At 42.1% G+C, this 22,863-nt stretch overlaps 1 protein-coding gene across 9 annotated transcripts in view, besides 1 other annotated feature; it reads right to left on the bottom strand.

Moving 5' to 3' along the window:
- Positions 1 to 22,863, bottom strand: part of UBE2K (ubiquitin conjugating enzyme E2 K) — an 84,657-nt gene that overhangs the window by 42,371 nt on the left and 19,423 nt on the right. For 5 of the 9 annotated variants that reach the window (NM_005339.5, NM_001111112.2, NM_001312646.2 and 2 more), the window contains exon 2: positions 2,909 to 3,002. The exons of 3 other annotated variants lie outside the window; for them this stretch is intronic. In NM_005339.5, coding sequence (NP_005330.1) covers positions 2,909 to 3,002 — 94 coding nt within the window. Of the gene's footprint in view, positions 1 to 2,908; positions 3,003 to 6,946; positions 17,039 to 22,863 lie in introns of those variants that run through there. One more of the 9 variants, XM_047450157.1, reaches the window with a different exon arrangement.
- Positions 7,379 to 7,458: an enhancer, noted in NCBI's record as "active region_21468". NCBI's record gives its function as "activates an Ori minimal core promoter by ATAC-STARR-seq in GM12878 lymphoblastoid cells {active_cell/tissue: GM12878}" and the evidence as "EXISTENCE:reporter gene assay evidence [ECO:0000049][PMID:35858748]".

The raw sequence follows: 22,863 nt of genomic DNA, 5'->3' as shown, positions 1-22,863 counted from the left end.
CACAGGCGCCCACCACCTCGCCCGGCTAATTAGTGTATCTTAATATATCTTAATGTATATAAGTATACATTATCCAATTAAAAAAATTAATCTACCTATTAAATATTGCTTCTATCTAATTTAGCTCAGGAAGTGCCTTGTTTATAAAAATCAATGAAAAAATTTAAAACTTTGCTGACAGACCTCTAGAATAATGTCACTGCCCTACTATCTTCCAAAAATACTTCAAAACAACCTAAAAAAAAATTCAAGAATAACTATAAGGTCTGACTTCAAGAAGAAGCTAGTATATTATTATATAAAAACATCTGCTATTAGGACAAGCATCTGATTTTTTAAAGATAACTAAAGGTCTCCTCTACATTTAATGATTGCAAAAAGGACTAAATGAAACAGCATCCATGAAAACTGCCAGACCAAGCCAAGCAGATAGGAAGCACTCGATAAACAGCATAAAAAATTAAATATCTAGAAATGGCTCGTATGAACTATAAAACAAAAAATAAAATTTTATCACTTAAGAATTGGTACAAGGTTGGGCACAATGGCTCATGCCTAGAATCCCAAGACTTTGGGACACCAAGGCAAGAGGATTGTTTTAGGCCAGGGGTTTGAGACCAGCCTCGGTAACTTGGCAAGATGCCATCTCTCCAATAAAGAAAGAAAAAAATGGGCTGGGTGCGGTGCGGTGGCTCACGCCTGTAATCTCAGCACTTTGGGAGGCTGAGGTGGGCAGATCACAAGGTCAGGAGTTCAAGACAAGCCTGGCCAATATGGTGAAACCCCGCCTCTACTAAAAATACAAAAATTAGCCGGGCATGGTGGCGGGCGCCTGTAGTACCAGCTACTCGGGAGGCTGAGGCAGGAGAATTGCTTGAACCCGGGAGGCGGAGGTTGCAGTGAGCCAAGATCGTACCACTGCACTCCAGCGTGAGAGACAGAGCAAGACTCTGTCTCCCAAAAAAAAAAAAAAAAAAAATGAATAAACAGAATTGGTATAATATGCTAAAGACATTCTAGGGTCTTAAAAAATCTGGATTAAAAACAAGAAAATATTCAAGAATATTAGATTTTTAAAAAGTGTTTTGGGTAGCCGGGCACGGTGGCTCACTCCTGTAACCCCAGCACTTTGGGAGGCCGAGGCTGGCAGATCACGAGGTCAGGAGATCGAGACCATTCTGGCTAACACGGTGAAACACCGTCTCTACTAAAAAAATACAAAAAAAATTAGCCGGGCATGGTGGCGGGTGCCCGTAGTCCCAGCTGCTCGGAAGGCTGAGGCAGGAGAATGGCGTGAATCCAGGAGGCGAAGCTTGCAGTGAGCCGAGATCGCGCCACTGCACTCCAGGCTGGGCAACAGAGCGAGACTCCATCTCAAAAAAAAAAAAGTGTTTTGGGTAACTGTTCATTACAGAATTATAGAACCACTCGAAAGTATTTAGCTGGTGGCCGGGATTGGTGGCTCACGCCTGTAATCCTAACACTTTGGGAGGCCAAGACAGGCGGATCACCTAAGGTCAGAAGTTCAAGACCAGCCTGGCCGTTATTGTGAAACCCTGTCTCTACTAAAAATACAAAAATTAGCCGGCATGGTGGTGCGCCTGTAATCCCAGCTACTCAGGAGGCTAAGGCAGGAGAATCACTTGATTCTGGGAGATGGAGGATGCAGTGAGCCAAGATTTCACCACCGCACTCCAGGCTGGGTGACAGAGAGACTCAGTCTCAAAAAACAAACAATCAAAAAATGAACAACAAAAAACACACACAAAGTATTTAACTGGATATGGTGGCATGCACCTGTAGTACTAGCTACTGAGGAAGCTGGAGGATTACCTGAGCCTAGGAATTCAAATTTATAATGAGCTATGACCATGCCACTGCTCTCCAGCTTGGGTAACAGTAAAACTTTGCATATAAAAAAATAGATAAAACAAAACAGACATCACCACCACTTCCAATATTAAGTCAATTCTGATTTACATAAAGTGATTAAAAGCACAGGCTTTGAAGACAAAGGCTATCAGTTGTGCTACTTAGATGGTTGACCTTAAACAAGTTACTTCTCTTAACTTGTTTCTTCATCTATGAAACAGCAATCGTTGTATTTACCTAGTAAGATTTGCTGAAAGGATTAAATGAGAAAATACATGTAAAGACTGTATAATTAGGGTTACCATATATTGTTATATGTTTTCTAATAAACAAATATTTGAATAGTTATTAATGCAAGAGCCTTGGTTATATGCTATATAATCTAAATTTACAGTAATATTAATTAATGAAGACTCACCTAATAAGAAAGTAAAATGCTATAAGGTTTATTTCTGTATCTTACCACCCGATTCCATGGTCTAAAGTAGCTACAGACTTAATTTGTGAACACCAAGTTCAGCAAAGCCACCTCCTTTCTATGGCTTGAAATAATCACTAAAAGCTTTCCTGAATAAAGAAAATAAACATTTGGACTACAGCCTGTATGAAGACATGAGTGAATGAAATGCTGAATGACAGAAAGAAGAACTTTAAAAACAAAAGCAACATTTTACCAATGAGATATTTAAGGCAAGGTCTGTTTTAGATACCATATGAAGGGTAACTGAGTGTCTACAGTCCATATGATTTAGAGGTTTACCATGCCAGATCTTTTATTCTATTAAATTCTAACCTATAATACCTGTAACAAAGCTCTGCTAAAACTGTTTTATGGAAAGAAAAAAATTAGCTAAAATTCAGTAAGAAATACCAGTCTATATTCAGTATCTAAATTTAGTATTTTTTAAATTGCTGTTTATCTAAACCAAATGAAGTTACCCTCCATATAATTTATAGATGTTTAAGATTATTCTGATTAAATGTTTCAGACAAGTTCTAATACGCACAATATTTTGATACAGAAAAAAGTACTTGCCTTCATATGGTGTGTCTGGAGGTCCTGCTATTTCTCCTCTTAATTCTGTAAAATTCTCATCTACAAGATCTACTTTAATTTGATTTTTGCTCGTCTTAAAAATAAACAGAAAATAAATGTTAGTTATGTCAGCAAGAAAAACGCCTAAAGTATTACCTATAAAAAATCTTGAAACCCCCTCTTTCATAAGCTTGATTATCTGCTCTAGTAAAATAAGTCTCGGCTTTTCTAGGACTTAATTATCCAGTTTTAAGAATATTTAAAACAAACTAATAAATTCTAACTTCATTGTTTTAAACGAAATAACACCACTATGAACAACAATACAATGGCTTCTTGACTTTCTAGGAATGTTATTAGGGAAAAATAGTATAAAAGCTATTTTATGTTTGCCAATTCCATGTATATCAGGCCCAAAGCGATAAATCTAATCATCCACAGATGAACACTAAGATATTATATTCTGCACTATACCCCCACGATACATGGGTTCTGCTTAAACAGAAAATTCAGGGTCATTAAAAGCCATTTAGGCCATAAACTCTCACTTGAACTAACCATAACAACTTTAAATGTTTAGTTTAACTGACTGAAATAGTACACTATCCACCAGAATGGTGAAAGCTCTAGCTACCTAACAGATTCTCCTTTCCATGAAAAATTCCAGAGGACTAAATGCCTCAAAAGAAAAGGCCTTCTTCAATTTGTTTTTCTGCTTAGTTTATTAAAACGGCAACTACCTACTTCAAAAAACCAGATTTCTACTTTAAATTTATCTACATTGACTTATTTTGCACTTTAAACTACTCCAAGTACTTTCCTATCTATAGCATTACTGAGTCTCTTAACCTTATGACAGTCCATTCTCAGAGCCATGATAACCTTAAATGATTCAGAAAACCATCCAGTGGGACTCACATTAACATTCGTAAGTGCCTGCCAGCAAATGGGCTCTCCACTTATATTCTCAAACCTATGTTAAAAATACAGTAAATCCTCTCGATTTTTTAAACCAAAATCCCTAAAGAACAGGTTACATCTTCCTTTTTTTGAGACGGAGTCTTGCTCTTGCTGCCCAGGCTGGAGTGCGATGGCACGATCTCGGCTCACTGCAACCTCCACCTCCTGGGTTCAAGTGACTCTCCTGCTTCAGCCTCCTGAGTAGCTGGGATTACAGGCACCCACTACCATGCTCAGCTAATTTTTGTTATTTTTAGTCAAGACGGGGTTTCGCCACGTTGGCCAGGCTTGTCTCGAACTCCTGACCTCGCGATACGCCCGCCTTGGCCTCCCAAAGTGCTGGGATTATAGACGTGAGGCACCGTGCCCGGCCTATATCTTCATTTTTTTTGGTTAGAATTCCATATTGTTACCTGATTGACACAACATATCTACTCTTATGTTTTTTGCTTTTAGACTGACTTTCTTAAACTTGATTACTAGATGAAACAGTGTAAGAATTACTGTCTTTGGCTTCCTCCTCCAACCCAAAAAAAAAAACCACAATTTTTACTCTTTTTCTATGTTAAATATTTTTTAGTACAGAACGTTTAGTTCATAAACAATACATGACTTAAAACCCATATTTTTCAAAGTTCACATCACTCCAAATTAATCCTGTTTTTTAATAAAAACATAGGATTTAAAAACTTACTTTCTAATTAGTACTTTTTTTTACATTTTTCTGAAAATATTTTTTATCCAAAAACTAAATTTAACTATAAATATGTACAATAAGAAACTACTTCTTATGCCCTAAAAAATCATTAACAACTTTGGTATTTGTGGTAGAGGAGAAAATGTACATTTTAGCAACAGTAAAACTACTCTGATGGCCGGGCGCGGTGGCTCATGCCTGTAATCCCAGCACTTTGGGAGGCTGAGGCGGGCAGATCACGAGGTCAGGAGATCGAGACCATCCTGGCTAACACGGTGAAACCCTGTCTCTACTAAAAATACAAAAAAATTAGCCAGGTGTGGTGGCGGGCACCTGCAGTCCCAGCTACTCGGGAGGCTGAGGCAGGAGAATGGTGTGAAACCAGGAGGCGGAGCTTGCAGTGAGCCGAGATCACGCCACTGCACTCCAGCCTGGGTGACAGAACGAGACTCCGTCTCAAAAAAACCAAAAACACAAAAATTTAGTTGGGCATGGTGGTGCACACCTGTAGTCCTGCTACTCGGGAAGCTGAGGCAGGAGAATCACTTGAACCAGGGAGACGGAGGTTGCAATGAGCCAAGATCGTGCCACTGCACTATGGCCTGGGTGAAAGAGCGAGACTCCATCTCAAAATAAATAAATAAATAAAAATAAAAAATTGTCTAGTATCTATGCATAATGTTAAAAGAAAATTGGAGGCATCCAACTTTCACTGACCAATTTAAGAAGCCAGTGTTAACTTACACTTGCATTTCTCCTCTTAAGGCTTCTTACAGGAATAATCATCTTGCTAATCATCAATGCTTTCAAAGATCTCGATAGCTTTCCACAATCCCCCCTCCAAAAAGTAGTATGTAAATAACCCAAAGATGATAGGATACTAAAGGATCTGATTAAAGTTTTTTGGGAAAGGAGAGGGAGATTAGAAAAGCTGCTTTTTGGGACTGCCCAAATCTCTGGCTAGTAAAATGCTAAATAATTATTCCTTTTCATACCTCTGTCCTTATTTCTGTCTACATCACCCCCAAATTATTATTATTTGTTTAAGACACGGTCTCACTCCCATCACCCTGGCTGGAATGCAGCAGTGCGATCTCAGCTCACTGCACCTCAACTTCCCAAGCTCAGGTGATTCTCCCACCTCGGCCTAACCAGTCGCTGGGACGAGAGGTGTGCACCACCATGCCTGGCTAAAGTTTTAAATTTTTAGTAGAGAGGGGGTTTTGCCATGTTTCTCAGGCTGGTCTTGAACTCCTGGGCTCAAGTGATCCACCACCTTTGGCCTCCTGCCTTGGCCTCCAAAAGTGCTGCGATTACAGGTGTGAGGTACCGCATCCAGCCCCCAAATTATAAGTCAGAAAAAAATTGCTCTTTTTTTCACTCTATAGAAAGAACATTATTATTGTATGAAAAAATGTACTAAATAAGCTCAAGAAAATACCATCATCATGATGAATTACATTATGAAAAAGCATTCTGGTCAGGTGCATGCGGTGGCTCGTGCCTGTAATCCCAACAGTTTGGGAGGCCAAGGCAGATCACTGAGTCAAGAGTTTGAGGCCAACATGGTGAAATCCGGAAAAATTAGCCGGGCATGGTGGTGTGTGCCTGTAGTCCCCGCTACTTGGGAGGTTGAGGCACGAGAATCGTTTGAATCCAGGGTGTGGAGGTTGGAGTGAGCCGAGATTTCGCCATTGCACTCCAGTTTGGGTAACACAGTGAGACTCTGTCTCAAAAAAAAAAAAAAAAAATTCTAGAGGGCTTAGAATAGGGTCTTTATTTGCACAGAACTAAAGATAAAAAGAAAACAAAGTTAAGCCAAAAATTTTTCACAGCTCAATTTTCCATCAAGCAACAATTATTCTTTATACCACCACAGTTTAATTCAAACATCCAGTTATTTCACAATCTAAAACTCCAATCCCCCTGCTCCCACAAGCGAACTTAAAGTCTTACTTTAAGAGTCAGGAACTATAAGCAAGACATGGAGAATGGTGAAAGATGACAGTATTACAAAAGTCATGGCCTTTGGAGTAAGACATATGTGTGCTGAATCCTAGTTCTGTCGCTTACTTGTGGTATTCATTCAGGTATAACACTTAACACCTAACTCTCAATTTTATTACTGTAAAATGAGAATACTTTCAGAATTAAGTTTCTTGGATAGAAGTAAGCAGCATAGTTCCCCTTTCCCTAACAACATTAACTATAAAACCTTTAATTTGGCTGGGTGCAGTGGCTCACGACTGTAATCCCAACACTTTGGGAGGCCAAGGCGGGTGGATCATTTGAGGTCAGGAGTTTGAGACTAGCTTGGCCAACATGGTGAAACCCCATCTCTACTAAAAATACAAAAATTAGCCAGGTGTGCTGACAGGCACCTGTAGTCCCAGCTACTCGGGAGACTGAGGCAGAAGAATGGCTTGAACTTGGGAGGTGGAGGTTGCAGTGAGCCGAGATTGCACCACTACATGCAGCCTGGATGATAGACCGAGATTCTGTCTCAAAAAAAAAAAAAAAAAAATTAAAGCCCGATTTTACAAAATTAATTTCACAGTCCTGTTTCCACAGTCTAAGAAAAAAATGTAGTATCTAAAAATAAATAATAAAATAATGTGTTATTCACTTCAATGACTGCAACAACCAAGGCAGCTGTAGCTTTTGGGTGAAATTCTGAAGAATTGTGTTATCACTGTAAATTTTTCATAAGGATAGGTCAAAGATTGCTTTTCTAAACTTTCTTCTCCCAACTCAGCTAAACACATAGCGGGACCTCTGGTTGTTTTTTTTTTTTTTTTTTTTTTTCCTGATGTTCCCTGGGGGCTTCAAGGCATTTCTAATGCACAAAAGGAACAGAGATATATAAAAGCTATAGCAGCTAGGCCAGGCAGGATGTTTCACCCCTGTAATTCCAGTACTCTAGGAGGCCGAGGCAGATGAATCATTTGAGGCAAGAAACTTGAGACCAGCCTGGCCCATATGGCAAAACCCTGTCTCTACTACAAATACAAAAATTAACTGGGCATGGTAGCACATGTCTGTAATCCCAGCTACTCAGGAGGCTGAGGCATGAGAATTGCTTGAACCCGGGAGGCAGAGGTTGCAGTGAACCAAGATCACACCACTGCACTCCAGCCTGGGCTACGAAGCAAGACTCTGTCACCAAAAAAAAAAAAAAAAAAAAGAGGGAAGAAGCTATAGAAGTTAGCAATTTTCAAATCAACTATTTTATTAAGATATACATGAAGCATGCAAAATAGCACATAACGTTGAAGCTAATTTGAATGAGATAAAAAAAACATTATTGTCAACAACCAACAGTGAAGAACTCAAAGCGGTTCTAATGTATTTCCAAGGCCATCTCTCAGTGAAATGATATTGTCATTGTTACCATCATCACTGTAAAAATTCTTTCAAATAATGACTAGGTTCTAGTATATGCTATCTCAAATGTTAGTGAACAAAACCTAAGTCCCTGCCCACTTGGAGCTTACATTCTAGTGGGAAAAACTAAACACTGGAAGATTTTATCATTTAAGGACTAAATACAAAGTATATTGTTGTTTAACCTTTTTAAAACTTACTAGCTATGAACAAGTTAATTAACTACTTTGTACTCCAGTTTCATCCTCTGTCAACTAAGGATAAGATAGTTCCTCATAGGGTTCGCTGGTGAATTTAACGAATAAAGTATATAGAACAATGCCTGCCACACAGTAAATGCTAAATTTATCATTGTAATATGCTGACTCTTGATAATGATGTTGGGGCAGAAAATTTTAACCCAAAGCAAATACTGTATTTTTTAAAGAGAATAATTAACAATATTAGCCTCACTTCTATTTATTTTTTAAAAAATGCTCTAAAATAAAATTTAAATCCAAATCTCAAATAAGACAAATATAATTCTAAATGCCCCCTAAAGTTACAAGTAATTCTTATTGATATAAAAAAATTATTATTTGTTTCCTAGTCAAGCCACAACTGTTTTAGGAGCCCTGCTCATCATTGTCATGCATATGTAAAAGTGAAATTTAGTTCTTCCTAATTTAGTTGGAAATAATACTTTAAAAGCTTAACAGTTGCCATTATTTTCTCATAATTTAATATAAATGACTTATCTTTCCCCTATTATTCAAAGGCCTAAGAAATACACTCGATTTCTACCTTCTAGGCAGTTAAATTTTTTTTTTATTTTTTTGAGATGGAGTCTTGCTGTGTTGCCCAGCTCACTGCAACCTCTGACTCCTGGGTTCAAGGAATTCTCCTGCCTCAGCCTCCCAAGTAGCTGGGATTACAGGCGCCCGCCACCACGCCTGGCTAATTTTTTTGTATTTGTACTAGAGACAAGGTTTCATCATGTTGGCCAGGGTGGTCTCAAACTCCTGACCTCTGGTGATCCACCTGCCTCGGCTTCCCAAAGTGCTGGGATTACAGGTGTGAGCCACCGTGTTTTCTGAAGCTTATGGCACATAACAGTCCCAAAGCAGAAGTGACATGAAAACAAAGGGATTGGGAGAATAATGAAAAACTGAGGCCATGGAGACACATGTATGATCCTTACTAAAAACAAGTTCTAGACGAGCAGTATCCAATACAATATAATGTAAGCCACTATGTAAATTTAAAATTTTCTGATATCCACATTGAAAAGAGTACAAGATGGCCGGGCGCCGTGGCTCATGCCTGTAATCCCAGCACTTTGGGAGGCTGAGGCAGGCGGATCACCTGACGTCAGGAGTTCGAGACCAGCTGAGGCAGGAGAATCGCTTGAACCCGGGAGGCAGAGGTTGCAGTGAGTTGAGATCGTGCCACTGCACTCTAGCCTGGGCGACAAAGCAAGACTCTGTCTTGAAAATAAAAGATAAAAATAGTACAAGAGACTGGACATAGTGGCACACTCCTGTAAATCCCAGCTACTTGAAATTCTAAGGCAGGAGAACTGCTTGAACCCGAGAGGCGGAGGTTGCAGTGAGCAGAGATCACGCCACTGCACTCCACCGGACAACAGAGTGAGACTCTGTCTCAAAAAAAAAAAAAAAAAAAGAAGCTATAGCAGCTAGCAATTATTATTATTATTATTTTTTGAGACGGAGTCTCACTCTGTTGCCCAGGCTGGAGTGCAGTGGCGCAATCTCAGCTCACTGCAAACTCCACCTCTTGGGGGTTCAAGCGATCCTTCTGCCTTAGCCTCCTGAGTAGCTGCAATTATAGGCGCCCACCACCATGCCCGGCTAATTGCTGAATTTTTGGTAGAGATGGGGTTTCACCATGTTGGCCAGGCTGGTCTTGAACTCCTGACCTCAAGATCTACCAGCCTCAGCCTCCCAAAGTGCTGGGATTACAGGCTAAGCCACCACACCAGGCTGCAGCTAGCATTTTTTAAATCACACCTGTAATCCCAACACTTTGTGGGGCAAAGGAGGGAGGATCACTTGAGCCCAGGAGCTTAAGACCCGCCTGGGCCATATAGTGAAACTCCCATCTCTACAGCGTGGAAAAAAAACAAAAAAAACAAAAAACGTGTGTCTGTAATCCCAGCTATTCAGGAAGTTGAAGTGGGAGAATCACTTGAGCCCAAGAGGTCAAGGGTGCAGTAAGCTATGACTGTGCCACTACACACCAGCCTGTGTGACAGAGTGAGACTCCATCTCTTAAAAAAAAAAGTTAAGTTCTGGACTTCTGTCAAACTTTACTCAATCTACAATGAAGAGTAATTCAAGTCTGAATTTATCAATTCCATGAATATTTACTAAGTACTTGCTATTTGCAAGGCATTATAACAGATATTGGTAGTATAATGATCAACTAGAAATTTTCTCTAACCTGTATCAATAGTTATTTCATTCTAAGGTACTGAAGAACTAATTATATAATTTTTAAATGAAGTACAGGATACTATGAAGAACATTTAGCAGACAGAAAATCTAGAAAGTAAGAGGAAGCTTCCTTGAGGAAATTAGTTTTAAAAGACTTAACTTTAGGAAAAGCCAGCACTTAAGGCAGAGCGTACACGCTGTGCAAAATGGAGGCAAACGAGGACTTGACAGGTTTAGGAATTGAAATGCCGCCAATGTGACTACAATACAAAGAATGAAAATGATGAAATGAGGCAGGAGAAGCAGTCAAAAGCCAGATTATTCAGGGTCATGAAGAATAATAAAAATTTGAAGTGTTGTAACAATCAGATCTGGGTCTCTTAGAGATCACCTGGCTGGAGTAGGGGGAAATGGCTGGAGGGGGATTAGAGAGAATACTTAGGAAACCAGTGAGAGATGCCAATAAAGTCCAGTGCAATGAAAAGAAGATGAATTAAGGCAGACAGGAAGTAAAATCTAAAGGACTTAGTTACTAACTAAAAGCTATGATCTTAGAAGAGGGGATTTTTTGCTGGGTGGATGACAGTATAATAAAGATAAGGAAACAAAGAATTGAGAAGTCAGGGTTTGAGGGAGAGGGGAAAAATCAGTTTGAGACATGTTGGATACAAGGTATCTGTGAAAATCCAAAGAACCAAGTAGGTAAATGAAAAATTCAGGTCTCGGGTTCAGGAGTGATCTGAAGATACAGTCAGAAAGATAGGAAAGACCGGGCGCCATGGCTCACGCCTGTAATACCAACACTTTGAGAGGTCAAGGTGGGCGGATCATCTAAGGTCAAGAGTTCGAGACTAGCCTGGCCAACATGGTGAAACCCCGCCTCTACTAAAAATACAAAAATTAGCTGGGGGCATGGTGGTGCGTGCCTGTAATCCCAGCTACTCTGGAGGCTGAGGCAGGAGAACTGCTTGAATCCAAGACACGGAGGGAGCAGTAAGCCGAGACAGAAGCACAGTACTCCAGCTTGGGCGACAAAGTAAGACTCCTTAAAAAAAAAAAAAAAAGGTGGGGGGCTGTGCGCGGTGGCTCACGCCTGTAATCCCAGCACTTTGGGAGGCCGAGGCGGGTGGATCACGAGGTCAAAAGATGGAGACCATCCTGGCTAACACAGTGAAACCCCGTCTCTACTAAAAATACAAAAAAAAAAAAACAAAAAAAACAAAAAAAACCTACTAGCCGGGCGTGGTGGCGGGCGCCTATAGTCCCAGCTACTCCGGAGGCTGAGGCAGGAGAATGGCGTGAACCCAGGAGGCGGAGCTTGCAGTGAGCCGAGATCGCACAACTGCACTCCCCACCTGGGGGACAGAGCGAGACTCTGTCTCAAAAGAAAAAAAAGAAAAAAGGAAAAAAGGAAAGGCAGGAGGAAGGGGAGGGAAAGGGAAAAGGAAAGAAAGGAAAGAAGAAAGGAAGAAAAAGATATTTGGATAGTCTGATATCACTGACACTACAGGAATAATATTTCAAGGAAACAGTGGGTAATGTTGCTGAACGATCAACAATAATACCTAATACATCGCTTTATCATCCAGACAGGAGGTACAGTGGTACAATCATAGCTCACCGCTGCCTCAAACCTCTGAGCTAAGGCAATTCTCCCGCCTCAGTCTCCCAAACTGTTGGGATTAGAGGCGTAAACCACCACTCCCAGCTCAATATCTATATATAATTTACAGGCAATATTTTAACTGATGTACATGTAATAACTCAATCTTAAAACAAACTTACGTGCTTACCAATAAGGAAGCTGAGGCAACAAAGTCACAAAGCTAATAATCAGTGAAGCCAGGTTTTAAAACTGATTCAAGAGTCAAGACAGAGCTTTTCTTTTACTTATTTTTTTTTTTGAGATGGTGTCTTGCTCTGTCGCCCAGGCTGAAATGCAGTGGGGCAATCTCGGCTCACTGCAACCTCCACCACCCGGGTTGAAGCGATTCTTCTGTCTCAACCTCCTGAGTAGCTGGGACTACAGGCGCACAGCACCACGCCTGGCTAATTTCTTACATATTTTTTAGTAGACACAGGGTTTCACCACATTGGCCAGGCTGGTCTCGAACTCCTGACCTTATGATCTGCCTGCCTCAGCCTCCCAAAGTGCTGGGATTACAGGCGTGAGCCACTGCACCCGGCTCACTTCTAAGATTTCAGTTAGAGGACATCTCAATGTATGCCAGTAAGAAAAAAACACTGCCATTTACACCATGACACAATACTTTATCACTCAGTTTTTATTATACACTTACTCAACTTTTAGAATTTATATACTTCAATCCTAAGATTAGGCCAGGCACAGTGGCTCACACCTGTAATCCCAGCTCTTTGGGTGGTGGAGATGGGCTGATCATTTGAACCCAGGAGTTCAAGACCAGCCCATCTCTATCCTTATGGAAAAAAAAAAAAAAGATCAGTCCAGACAACATGGTGAAACCCTGTCTCTACAAAAAAATTAGGTAGGTGTGGGTGTGGTGGTGCATGGCCATAGTCCCAGCAATGCGGGAGGCTGAAGTGGGAAAATCACCTGAGCCCAGGAATCCCAGGCTGCAGAGAGCCGTGATCTTACCACTGGCACTCCTGCCTGGGTGACTGTGGTGTATCCTGTCTCAGCGCTCCCCCCATAAGAAACCTTTAAGATTATTAAAGAGAAAAGAAAAACAGTCAAAGCTACTCCTCAAACTTCTTCACATCAAGTCCTACTCTCCAGTATCACCTTTTCAATTCAGTCTTTGTTGTCCATGTTTTTCCTACACAATACAATCCTCTGTATGTGATATAACATTTGTACTCTAAGACTGCTTGTGACATAAAAGGACTAGAAAGTAAACTAAATGATTACAACCATTAAGAAGAATAATGTAACTGTAAAAAGGTAAGTCAGAAGTCAAGGAAACCTGAGCATGTACTGTGTCATTACATATTCAAAAATTAGTGTTTCTTTTGTTGGACATAATAAGACAATTGATTTGGTTTCATAAAAATGTCCTTGTATGTTAAAGATCCACAATGAATTATTCACTGTACAATGACAGAATTCTGGGGTTTGCTGCAAAATAACTCAGAAGATTTGTTTCAAAATAATCTAGAAGGGGACAGGTACATTGGCTCACGCTGGTAATCCTAACACTTTGGGAGGCTGAGGTGGGTAGATCACCTGAGGTCAAGAGTTTGAGACCAGCCTAACCAACATGGTGAAACCCTGTCTCTACTAAAAACACAAAAAATTAGCCAGGTGTGGTGGTGCACGCCTGTAGTCCCAGCTACTCAGGAGGCTGAGGGAGGAGAATCGTCTGAGCCCAGGAGGCAGAGGTTGCAGTAAGCCGAGATCGCACCATTGCACTCCAGCCTGGGAGACAGTGAGACTCCATCTCAAACAACAAACAAACAAACAGCAAAATAATCTAGAAGGGAGTGGGAATCTGACAGACAAACTAGCCACATGTTCATAACTACCGAAAGTGGAGGCCAGGAGGAGTGGTGGCTCACACCTGTAATCCCAGCACTTTGGGAGACTGAGGCAGGAGGATTGTTTAAGCCCAGGAGTTCAAGACCAGCCTGGGCAGCAAAGTGAGATCTCCGTCTCTACAAAAAAGAAAAAGAAAAAGCAACTGGGTGATGATATCTATTATGCTATTTTCTCAACTTCAGTACAAGTTTAAAAATTTTAGCAGAAAGTTAAAAAGTAAAAACAGGCCAGGCACGATGGCTCACGCCTGTAATCCCAGCACTTTGGGAGGCCAAGGCAGGTAGAACACCTGAGGTCAGGAGTTCGAGACCAGCCTGGTCAACATGTTAAGACAGACATATAGGGAGGATGCCACATAAAGACAGATTATTGGGGTGATGCATCTACAAGCCAAGGAACACCAAAAACGCTGGCAAACCAACAGAAACTAGGAAGAGGCAAGGAAGGATTCCCCAGAGGTTTCAGAGGCAATCTGACCCTGCTGACACCTTGATTTCCAACTTCTAGCCTCCACAACTCTGAGAATAAATGTTTTATTTTAAAAACCCAAATATTTACAATACTATTTTAAAAAAAAAGGCCAAGTGTGGTGGTACATGCCTGTAATCCCAACACTTTGGAAGGCCAAGGTGGACAGACTGCTTGAGCCCAGGAGTTCAAGACCAACCTGGGCAACATGGCAAAACCTGCTCTCTACTAAAAATACAAAAATTAGCCAGGTATGGTGGTGTGCACCTGTAGTCCCAGATACTCAGGAGGCTGAAGCAGGAGGGTCACTTGAACGCAGGAGGTTCTCACAGTGAGGATGGAAGAAAATTCCCTGCATGCTTCTGGCAGGGGGAAGGGGGAAAGTAGCCATTCTGAAGTAATTCCAAAGTAATCTGTTCTTTTTAAAAAGGCCTGCCTTCAAGAGAAAAGATTTCACCAGAGGTTAACCAACTGGAGTTTTATCAGAGCTAACTGACCCAAGGGAAGTGAAAAACCCAATCCCAGCCTTCCAATCTCAACTAAGGAGGAAGTGTGAACTGAGAAGCAACTGTGAATATCACAGCCCAGGTACACAGATTCACTAAAAGACTACAACAGAATACTGAAACCTTACTATCAAGAGGTGTTTTTTTTTTTTTTTTTTTTTTTTTTTTTGAGACAGGGTCTTGCTCTGTCACCCAGGCTGGAGTGCAGTGGCATGATCATGGCTCACTGCAAACTGCCTCCCGGGTTCAGATGATCCTACCTCAGCCTCCTGAGTAGCTGTGAGTACAGGTGCATGACACCATGCCTGGTTAATATTTGTATTTTCTGTAGAGACGGTTCGCCATGTCTCCATTTGTCTACAAATCTCAAATTCTTGGGCTAAAGCAATCTGTCTGCCTTGGACTCCCAAAGTGCTGGGATTACAATTGTCAGCCACCATGCCTGGCCACGAAGGCTTTTGTATAACAACAGGACGTTACTCAAAGAACTGCATTTGTGCAATACTTGCAAGGAATTAAAAAACTAAAAAAGAAAAATATATAACTGCATGTCTCAGATCTTATTTAAGAAGTCTCTAAGGAACCCCAAGACAACAAAGTAAACAAAAATAAGAACACTGGAGGAAATATTAGTTCTCACACCTACAGCTACAAAAAATGTTAATACAAAACACAGCCCAATCCTAAGTCAGATAAACGTAATGCCTCACACTAAAGGCTTATGTATCTCAGTTACTTTTACCTAGTAAAACATGCCCAGCATTTTTTTTTTTTTTTGAAACAGGGTCTCACTCTGTCCCCCAGGCTGAAGGGCAGTGGCGCCATCTCAGCTCATTGCAACTTTTGCCTCCGGGGCTAAAGTGATCCTCCTGCCTCAGCCCCCCCAAGTAGCTGGGCCTACAGGCATGCACTTACCATGCCTAGCTAATTTTTGTATTTTTTTTTTTTTTTTTTTTTTTTTTTGCAGAGACGGGGTTTTACCATGTTGCCCAGGCTGATTTTGAACTCCTGAACTCAGGCAATCCACCTGCCTCAGCCTCCCAAAGTGCTAGGATTACAGGCATGAGCCACCATGCCCGGCCCATGCCCAGCTTTCAATAAAAAATTACAAGGTGTACTAGAAGACAAAAAAATACAGTTTGGGCTGGGTGCAGTGGCTAATACCTGTAATCCCAGCACTTTGGGAAGCCAAGGCAGGAGGATTCACCCAGGAGTTTGAGACTAGCCTAGTCAACACAGCAAAACCCCACCTCTACAAAAATACCACAAAAATTAGCCAGGTGTGGTGGTGCGTGCCTATAGTCTCAGCTACTTGGGAGGCTGAGGTTGGAGGATCACTTGAGCCCAGGAGTTCCAGGTTGTAGTAAGCCATGATTGTGCCACCGTACTCCAGCCTGGTGACAACAATTAAAAAAAAAAAAAAAATTAAAAAAGGACTGGGCATGGTGGCTCATGCCTGTAATCCCAGTACTTTGGGAGGCTGAGGCGGGTGGATCACCTAAGGTCAGGAGTTCGAGACCAGCCTGACCAACATGGTGAAATCCCATCTCTACTAAATACAAAAAAACCAGATGGGTGTGGTGGTGTGTGCCTGTAGTCCCAGCTACCTGGGAGGCTGAGGCAGGAGAATCGCTTGAACCCCGGAGGCAGAGGTAGCAATAAGCCGCGATTGTGCCATTGCACTCCACCCTGCGCAACAAGAGAGAAACTCTGTCTCAAAAAATATATTTTTTAAAAAAGGAAATTAATTGTACAGTACCCATTATTAACACAGAGAAACAATTATTTTAAATGTTATTATTTTCCCTTAACAAAAATTTAAATTACAAAGACATTCTGAGTTTTCCCTCTAATTTATTAATCTCTTTAAGAGCAGACAGGCCACGTGCAGTGGCTCACGCCTGTAATCCTAGCACTTTCGGAGGCCGAGGCAGGCGGATCAGGAGGTCAGGAGATTGAGACCACCCTGGCTAACACAGTGAAACACTGTTTCTACTAAAAATACAAAAAATTAGCAGGGCGTGGTGGTGGATGCCTGTAGTCCCAGCTACTCGGGAGGCTGAGGCAGCAGAATGGCATGAACCTGGGAGGCAGAGCTTGCAGTGAGCAGAGATCGTGCCACTGCACTCCAGCCCGGGCAACAGGGCGAGACTCAGTCTGAAGGAAAAAAAAAAAAAAAAAAAAGAGAAGACAGCAGGGCTGGGTACAATGGCTCATGGCTCATGCATGTAATCTCAGCACTTTGGGAGGTCGAGGCAGGTGGATTGCTTGAGCTTAGTTCGAGACCAGCCTGGGCAATATAGTGAAATCCTGTCTCTACTTAAAAAAAAAAAAAATTATCTAGGTGTGGTGGCATATACCTGTAGTCCCAGCTACTCAGGAGGCTGAGGTGGGAGGATTCCTGGAGTCTGGAAGGCAGGGGGTGCAGTGAGCTGAAGTTGTACCACTGCACTCCAGTCTGGGTGACAGTGAGACACTGTCTCAAAAAAAAAAAATTAAAGAAAAAAGAGAGGTGAGTGGATCACCTGAGGTCAGGAGTTTGAGACCAGCCTGGCCAACATGGTGAAATTCCATCTCTACTAAATTAGCCGGGTGTGGTGGTGCGCGCCTGTAATCCCAGATACTTGGGGGGCTGAGGCAGGAGAATCACTTGAACCTGGGAGGCGAAGGTTGCAGTGAGCCGAGATCATGCCACTGCACTCCAGCTTAGGTGACAGAGGGAGACTCCATCTCAAAAAAAAAAAAAAGAGAGAAAAAGAGAATACAGCAGGTCCTTGGATAACATCATTTCCTTATAACATTTATGAGGAAAAAAAAATCCCACACGGGCTGCTGTCTTATGTGGAGCTTGCCATGTTCTCCCCACGTCTTTGTGGGTTTTCTCCGGGTACTCAGGTTTCTTCCCAAATTCCAAAGATAAACATGCTAGATTAACTGGCATGGTTAAACTGTACCAGCATGAGTGAGAGTGGGGGTGTGTGTGAGTGCACCTGGTAAAAGGATTTTGGGAATAAGATTATTTCCAGGATGCCAAAGAAGTAATCCATCCTTTACTTGCTAATTGCAAAGAGCATAAAATGTACCTTTACAAAGAAATCTTGTAGTTCCCACCTTAATCAAATGATTAAACAAGTGACCAAGCATCAATAACAGTAAGAAAATCTGATATTACACATGTACTAATATGATTCAATATGAAGTATACAACATCACTTGGGATCTTCTTACCAAAATGTTTAACCTGAAGCTAATCAAACCTTTACACCTAAACTAGGAATCACAGACATCAGGATTTTCAGTATTAATGAGATGAGAAAAAAAGAAAGGTATGTGAAGGGGTTAACAATCATAAATTGTAAAAGACCCAAGAATACAATTATATACAATCTGTGAACGTTACGTAGATAAGACTTTTTTTTAAGTCAACTGAAAAATAGAAGTTTGGGGTTTTTTTTGGAGACAGGGTCTTACTCTGTCACCTAGGCCGGACTGCAGAGGCTGCAGTGAGCCATGATCATGGCACTGTACCTACTGGGCTCAAGCAATCCTCCGACCTCGGCTGCCCAAGCAGCTGGGACCACAGCCACATGCCACCACACCCAACTATTTTTTTCTATTTTTGTCGAGACGGGCTTTTGTCATGTTGTCCAGACTGGTCTCAAACTCCTGGGCTCAACTTATCCTCCTGCCTCAGCCTCCTAAAGTGCAAGGATTACCAGAGTGAGCCACCATGCCCAACCAAAAGAATATTATTTTTAAGAGATGCATGCTCAAGTTTTTGGTAGTGAATTATATTCATGAGAGCAACATGATCTTAGCTAGTGGGGATACAAGTGTACTGTCCTTTCGACTTTTCTCTTCAAAATTTTATTGATAAAAAGTTAAAAGTTGACTGGGTATGGTGTCTCATGCCTGTAATCCCAGCACTGTGGGAGGCCGAGGCAGGTAGATTGCTTGAGCCCAGGAGTTCAAGACCAGCCTGGGCAACACGGTGAAACCCCATCTCTACAAAAAAAAATATGAAAATTAGCAGGGCGTGGTGGCACGTGCCTGTAGTCCCAGCTACTCAGGAGACTGAGGTAGGAAGATCACTTAAGACCAGGAGTTTGAGGCCGCAGTGAGCTGTGATTGAGCCACTGCACTCCAGCCTGGGTGACAGAGGGTCTCCCAAATACTTATAACTTCTCTTCGGCTCCCTATTCAACTCTAGCCCCATACTACAATAATTTCTTGCCTAAGCTACCTAAAAAGGTTTCCTAAATGATCCTGAGTTCATTCTTGCCCCTCTACCCTCTACATGGCTAGTTGTCTAATCAACTTTCTTTTTTCCTTCTTCCCTACTAAAGAAACTCTCATTTTAATTGAGGAGTACTGTGCTCAACTAAAGAAGATTTCCTAGCCTCCCTTAAACCAAGAAGAGGTTATGACGCAGTTTTGGTTAAAAAAATAAAAACAGTCGTAGGACAGTCCATCAGGAAAAGAAAAAAAGAAAAACAGAAGTTGGCCAGGCAGGGGCTCAGGCCTGTAATCTCAGCATTTTAGAAAGCCAAGGCAGGAAAATCACTTGAGGCCAGGAGTTCAAGACCAGCCTGGGTAACATGGCAAAACTCAGTCTCTACAAATAATTTAAAAATAATTAACTGGGCACAGTGGTGTCTACCTGTAGTACTAGCTACTCGGAAGGCTGAGGCAGGAGAATCACTTGAGCCCTGGAGTTCAGGGTTACAGTGAGCTATGATCATACCACTGCACTCCAGCCTGGGCAACAAACTGAGACCTAGTCTCTAATAAATAAAAACATATATACATAGAAAAAAACAATAAAATGTTTTTCCATTATTCATTGTAAAATGATTATTAACTATCTATACGTATACAGAGTTGATCATGGTCATTCTAATTTATCCTGTAAGTATCAGTTACCGGTTATTCCCAAGAAACTCTTTCCCTGAGGCTAGAATACCCAACTTCCATAGGTCCCCTTACTTAAAGTCAACAAACACACTTATTAGCTGTTCAATTTCTCACTGCCTTACTGAGCCATAATTTATTCCATAACAGCAAGGATCATGTCCATTTTATTAACATAGGTAGCATTCAGTAAATATGTGAATAAATAAAAAATGTAAAGTTACACTAAAGAATTGAACCACAGATGATGTCATATATACTAAATAGATGCCAGTGAGATCTTCAAAAGGGAAAACTACAGAAAAAAAAAAAAAATTACCTTCCCACTATCTTGTTTCCCAGTTTTGGGCTTGGACATTCCATCATCCTAATTCAAGACCTGACTACATTATTAACACTTACATGCAACAGAAATCCAACTTTACCTGGAGGCCACCTTTATCAATATATTCAACTCTTCCTAGTCCCAGAATCAGGATGAAACTTTCACAATGGTTGGGGATGAGCTCTCTAGAGCTTAGGAATATCCTTAAACTCATTCAGGAAAACAAGTATCTCCTGCTTAGCAGGCAATGGTGCTAAGCAATGGGGAATGGAAGATCAGTGAGAAAGAACTCTGCTTTCAATGACTCACATTCACAGTGCCTATGGGCAGATGGAAAGAAAGCACCTAACAATATAAACACCTAAAATTTCATCCAACACTCAATGACCACTCAGTATGTATCACTTTCAGAGATATACACTCAAAATTCTCACACATGTACACTATCAAGAAACTGGAAATAACTGAATGTCTAATAGGAGGCAAAAACTGTGCTATATTCTATACAACAAAAACTAAGTCACTACAGTGATTTAAGAAAAAGCATAAAATGTTTTATTATCAGCTCGCTGAGAAGCAACAGCATCAGACAACCCAAAATTGGGTATGACAAAACCAAGTAAGATGCTTCACTTGAAACAAAGAAACCTAAAAGCAAGACACCCATAGTTAACTGAGAGAAAAGAGTACATAGACTAGCTGGTCCTACATTTCTAATCACTAGAAAAATCCATAATCACACATTTGCTAAAAGTAACGGAAGCCTGCCCTAAACCTATGTCCTAAGAGCACTTTTAGCAGCAGCTCCTCAAAATTAGATACCTATCAAAGACTTTTTTGGTGTGCTTTAAATTACTAAGGCTTCTACATTCAAGGAACCCTACAAGGTGCTAAAGAGAAAAAAATGAATATGAGCCCTCAAGGAGTTTAATCTACCAGGAGTAGAAGGACATATGTACAATTATCAATAGTAAGATAACTGCTCTCATGAAGTCTGACAATGAAAAACAGAAGGAAACTTTGGCTTCAAGAAAGGCTTACCAGGGGTGGTATTTTAGGACAAGTAGGTTTCGAAAGGTAAAGAAAAAAGATAAGGGCTTATTCCAGACAGATGAAACAACTAAATAGCAAGCAATTTTGTATTGCTGAAGGTTTGAGGGAGACTGAAAGTCTGAGGTATGTGTAGGAATGCAAGTGTGTATCTGTGACTTAACAGGAAATAGGTCAGGAAAGGTAGGTCAGAATGAGAGGTGACAGCGTGCTGGCAGCCCTCACAGCCCTTGCTCACTCTTGGTGCCTCCTCGGCCTCAGTGCCCATTCTGGCCACACTTGAGGAGCCCTTCAGCCCACCGCTGCACTGTGGGAGCCCCTTCCTGGGATGGCCGAGGCCGGAGCCAGCTCCCTCAGCCTGCAGGGAGGTGTGAAGGGAGAGGCACGGGTGGGAACCGGGGCTGCGCACGGCGTTTGCAGGCCAGCTAGATTTCCAGGTGGGCGTGGGCTTGGCGGGCTCAGCACTCTGAGCGGCCGACTGGCCCTGCTGGCCCTGGGCAGTGAGGGGCTTAGCACCCAGGCCAGCAGCTGCGGAGGATGCGGCCGGGTCCCCCAGCAGTGCTGGCCCACCAGCGCTGCGCTCAATTTCTCACCAGGCCTTAGCTGCCTCCCCACGGGGCAGGGCTCGGGACCTGCAGCCCGCCATGCCTGAGTCCTGCCCCCCTGCCGTGGGCTCCTGCGTGGCCTGAGCATTGTCCCCTGCTCCACGGCACCCAGTTCCATCGACTGCCCAAGGGCTGAGGAGTGCAGGCGCATGGCGCAGGACTGGCGGGCAGCTCCACCTGTGGCCCCGGTGCGAGATCCACTGGGTGAGGCCAGCTGGGCTCCTGAGTCTAGTGGGGACTTGGAGAACCTTTATGTCTAGCTAAGGGATTGTGAATGCACCAATCGGCACTCTTTATCTAGCTCAAGGTTTGTAAATGCACCAATCAGCACTCTGTGTCTAGCTCAGGGTTTGTAAATACAGCAATCGACACTCTGTATCTAGCTAATCTAGAGAACATGGAGAACTTTTGTGTCTAGCTCAGGGATTGTAAACGCACCAATCAGCACCCTGTCAAAACGGACCAATCAACTCTCTGTAAAACAGACCAATCAGCTCTCTGTAAAATGGACCAATCAGCAGGATGTGCGTGGGGCCAGATAAGAGAATAAAAACAGGCTGCCTGAGCCAGCAGTGGCAACCCACTCGGGTCCCCTTCCACACTGTGGAAGCTTTGTTCTTTTGCTCTTTGCAATAAATCTTGCTACTGCTCACTCTTTGGGTCCACACTGCCTTTATGAGCTGTAACACTCACCGCAAAGGTCTGCAGCTTCACTCCTGAAGCCAGCGAAACCACGAACCCACCGGGAGGAACGAACAACTCCAGACGCGCCGCCTTAAGAGCTGTAACACTCACCGCGAAGGTCTGCAGCTTCACTCCTGAGCCAGCGAGACCACGAACCCACCAGAAGGAAGAAACTCCGAACACAACCGAACATCAGAAGGAACAAACTCCGGACACGCCGCCTTTAAGAACTGTTAACACTCACCGCAAGGGTCCGTGGCTTCATTCTTGAAGTCAGTGAGACCAAGAACCCACCAATTCCGGACACAAGAACAACAGTATAAAGGTTTTGACTTTATCCCCATAGGCACTGGAAAACCTAACAGAGAATGATGTAACATTGTATTTTTAAAATTAAATCCAGTGGCATGGCA

The sequence above is a fragment of the Homo sapiens genome, chromosome 4 (assembly GCF_000001405.40).
Source record: "Homo sapiens chromosome 4, GRCh38.p14 Primary Assembly".
NCBI lineage: Eukaryota > Metazoa > Chordata > Mammalia > Primates > Hominidae > Homo > Homo sapiens.
This window is presented reverse-complemented; position numbering and strand designations above follow the sequence as displayed.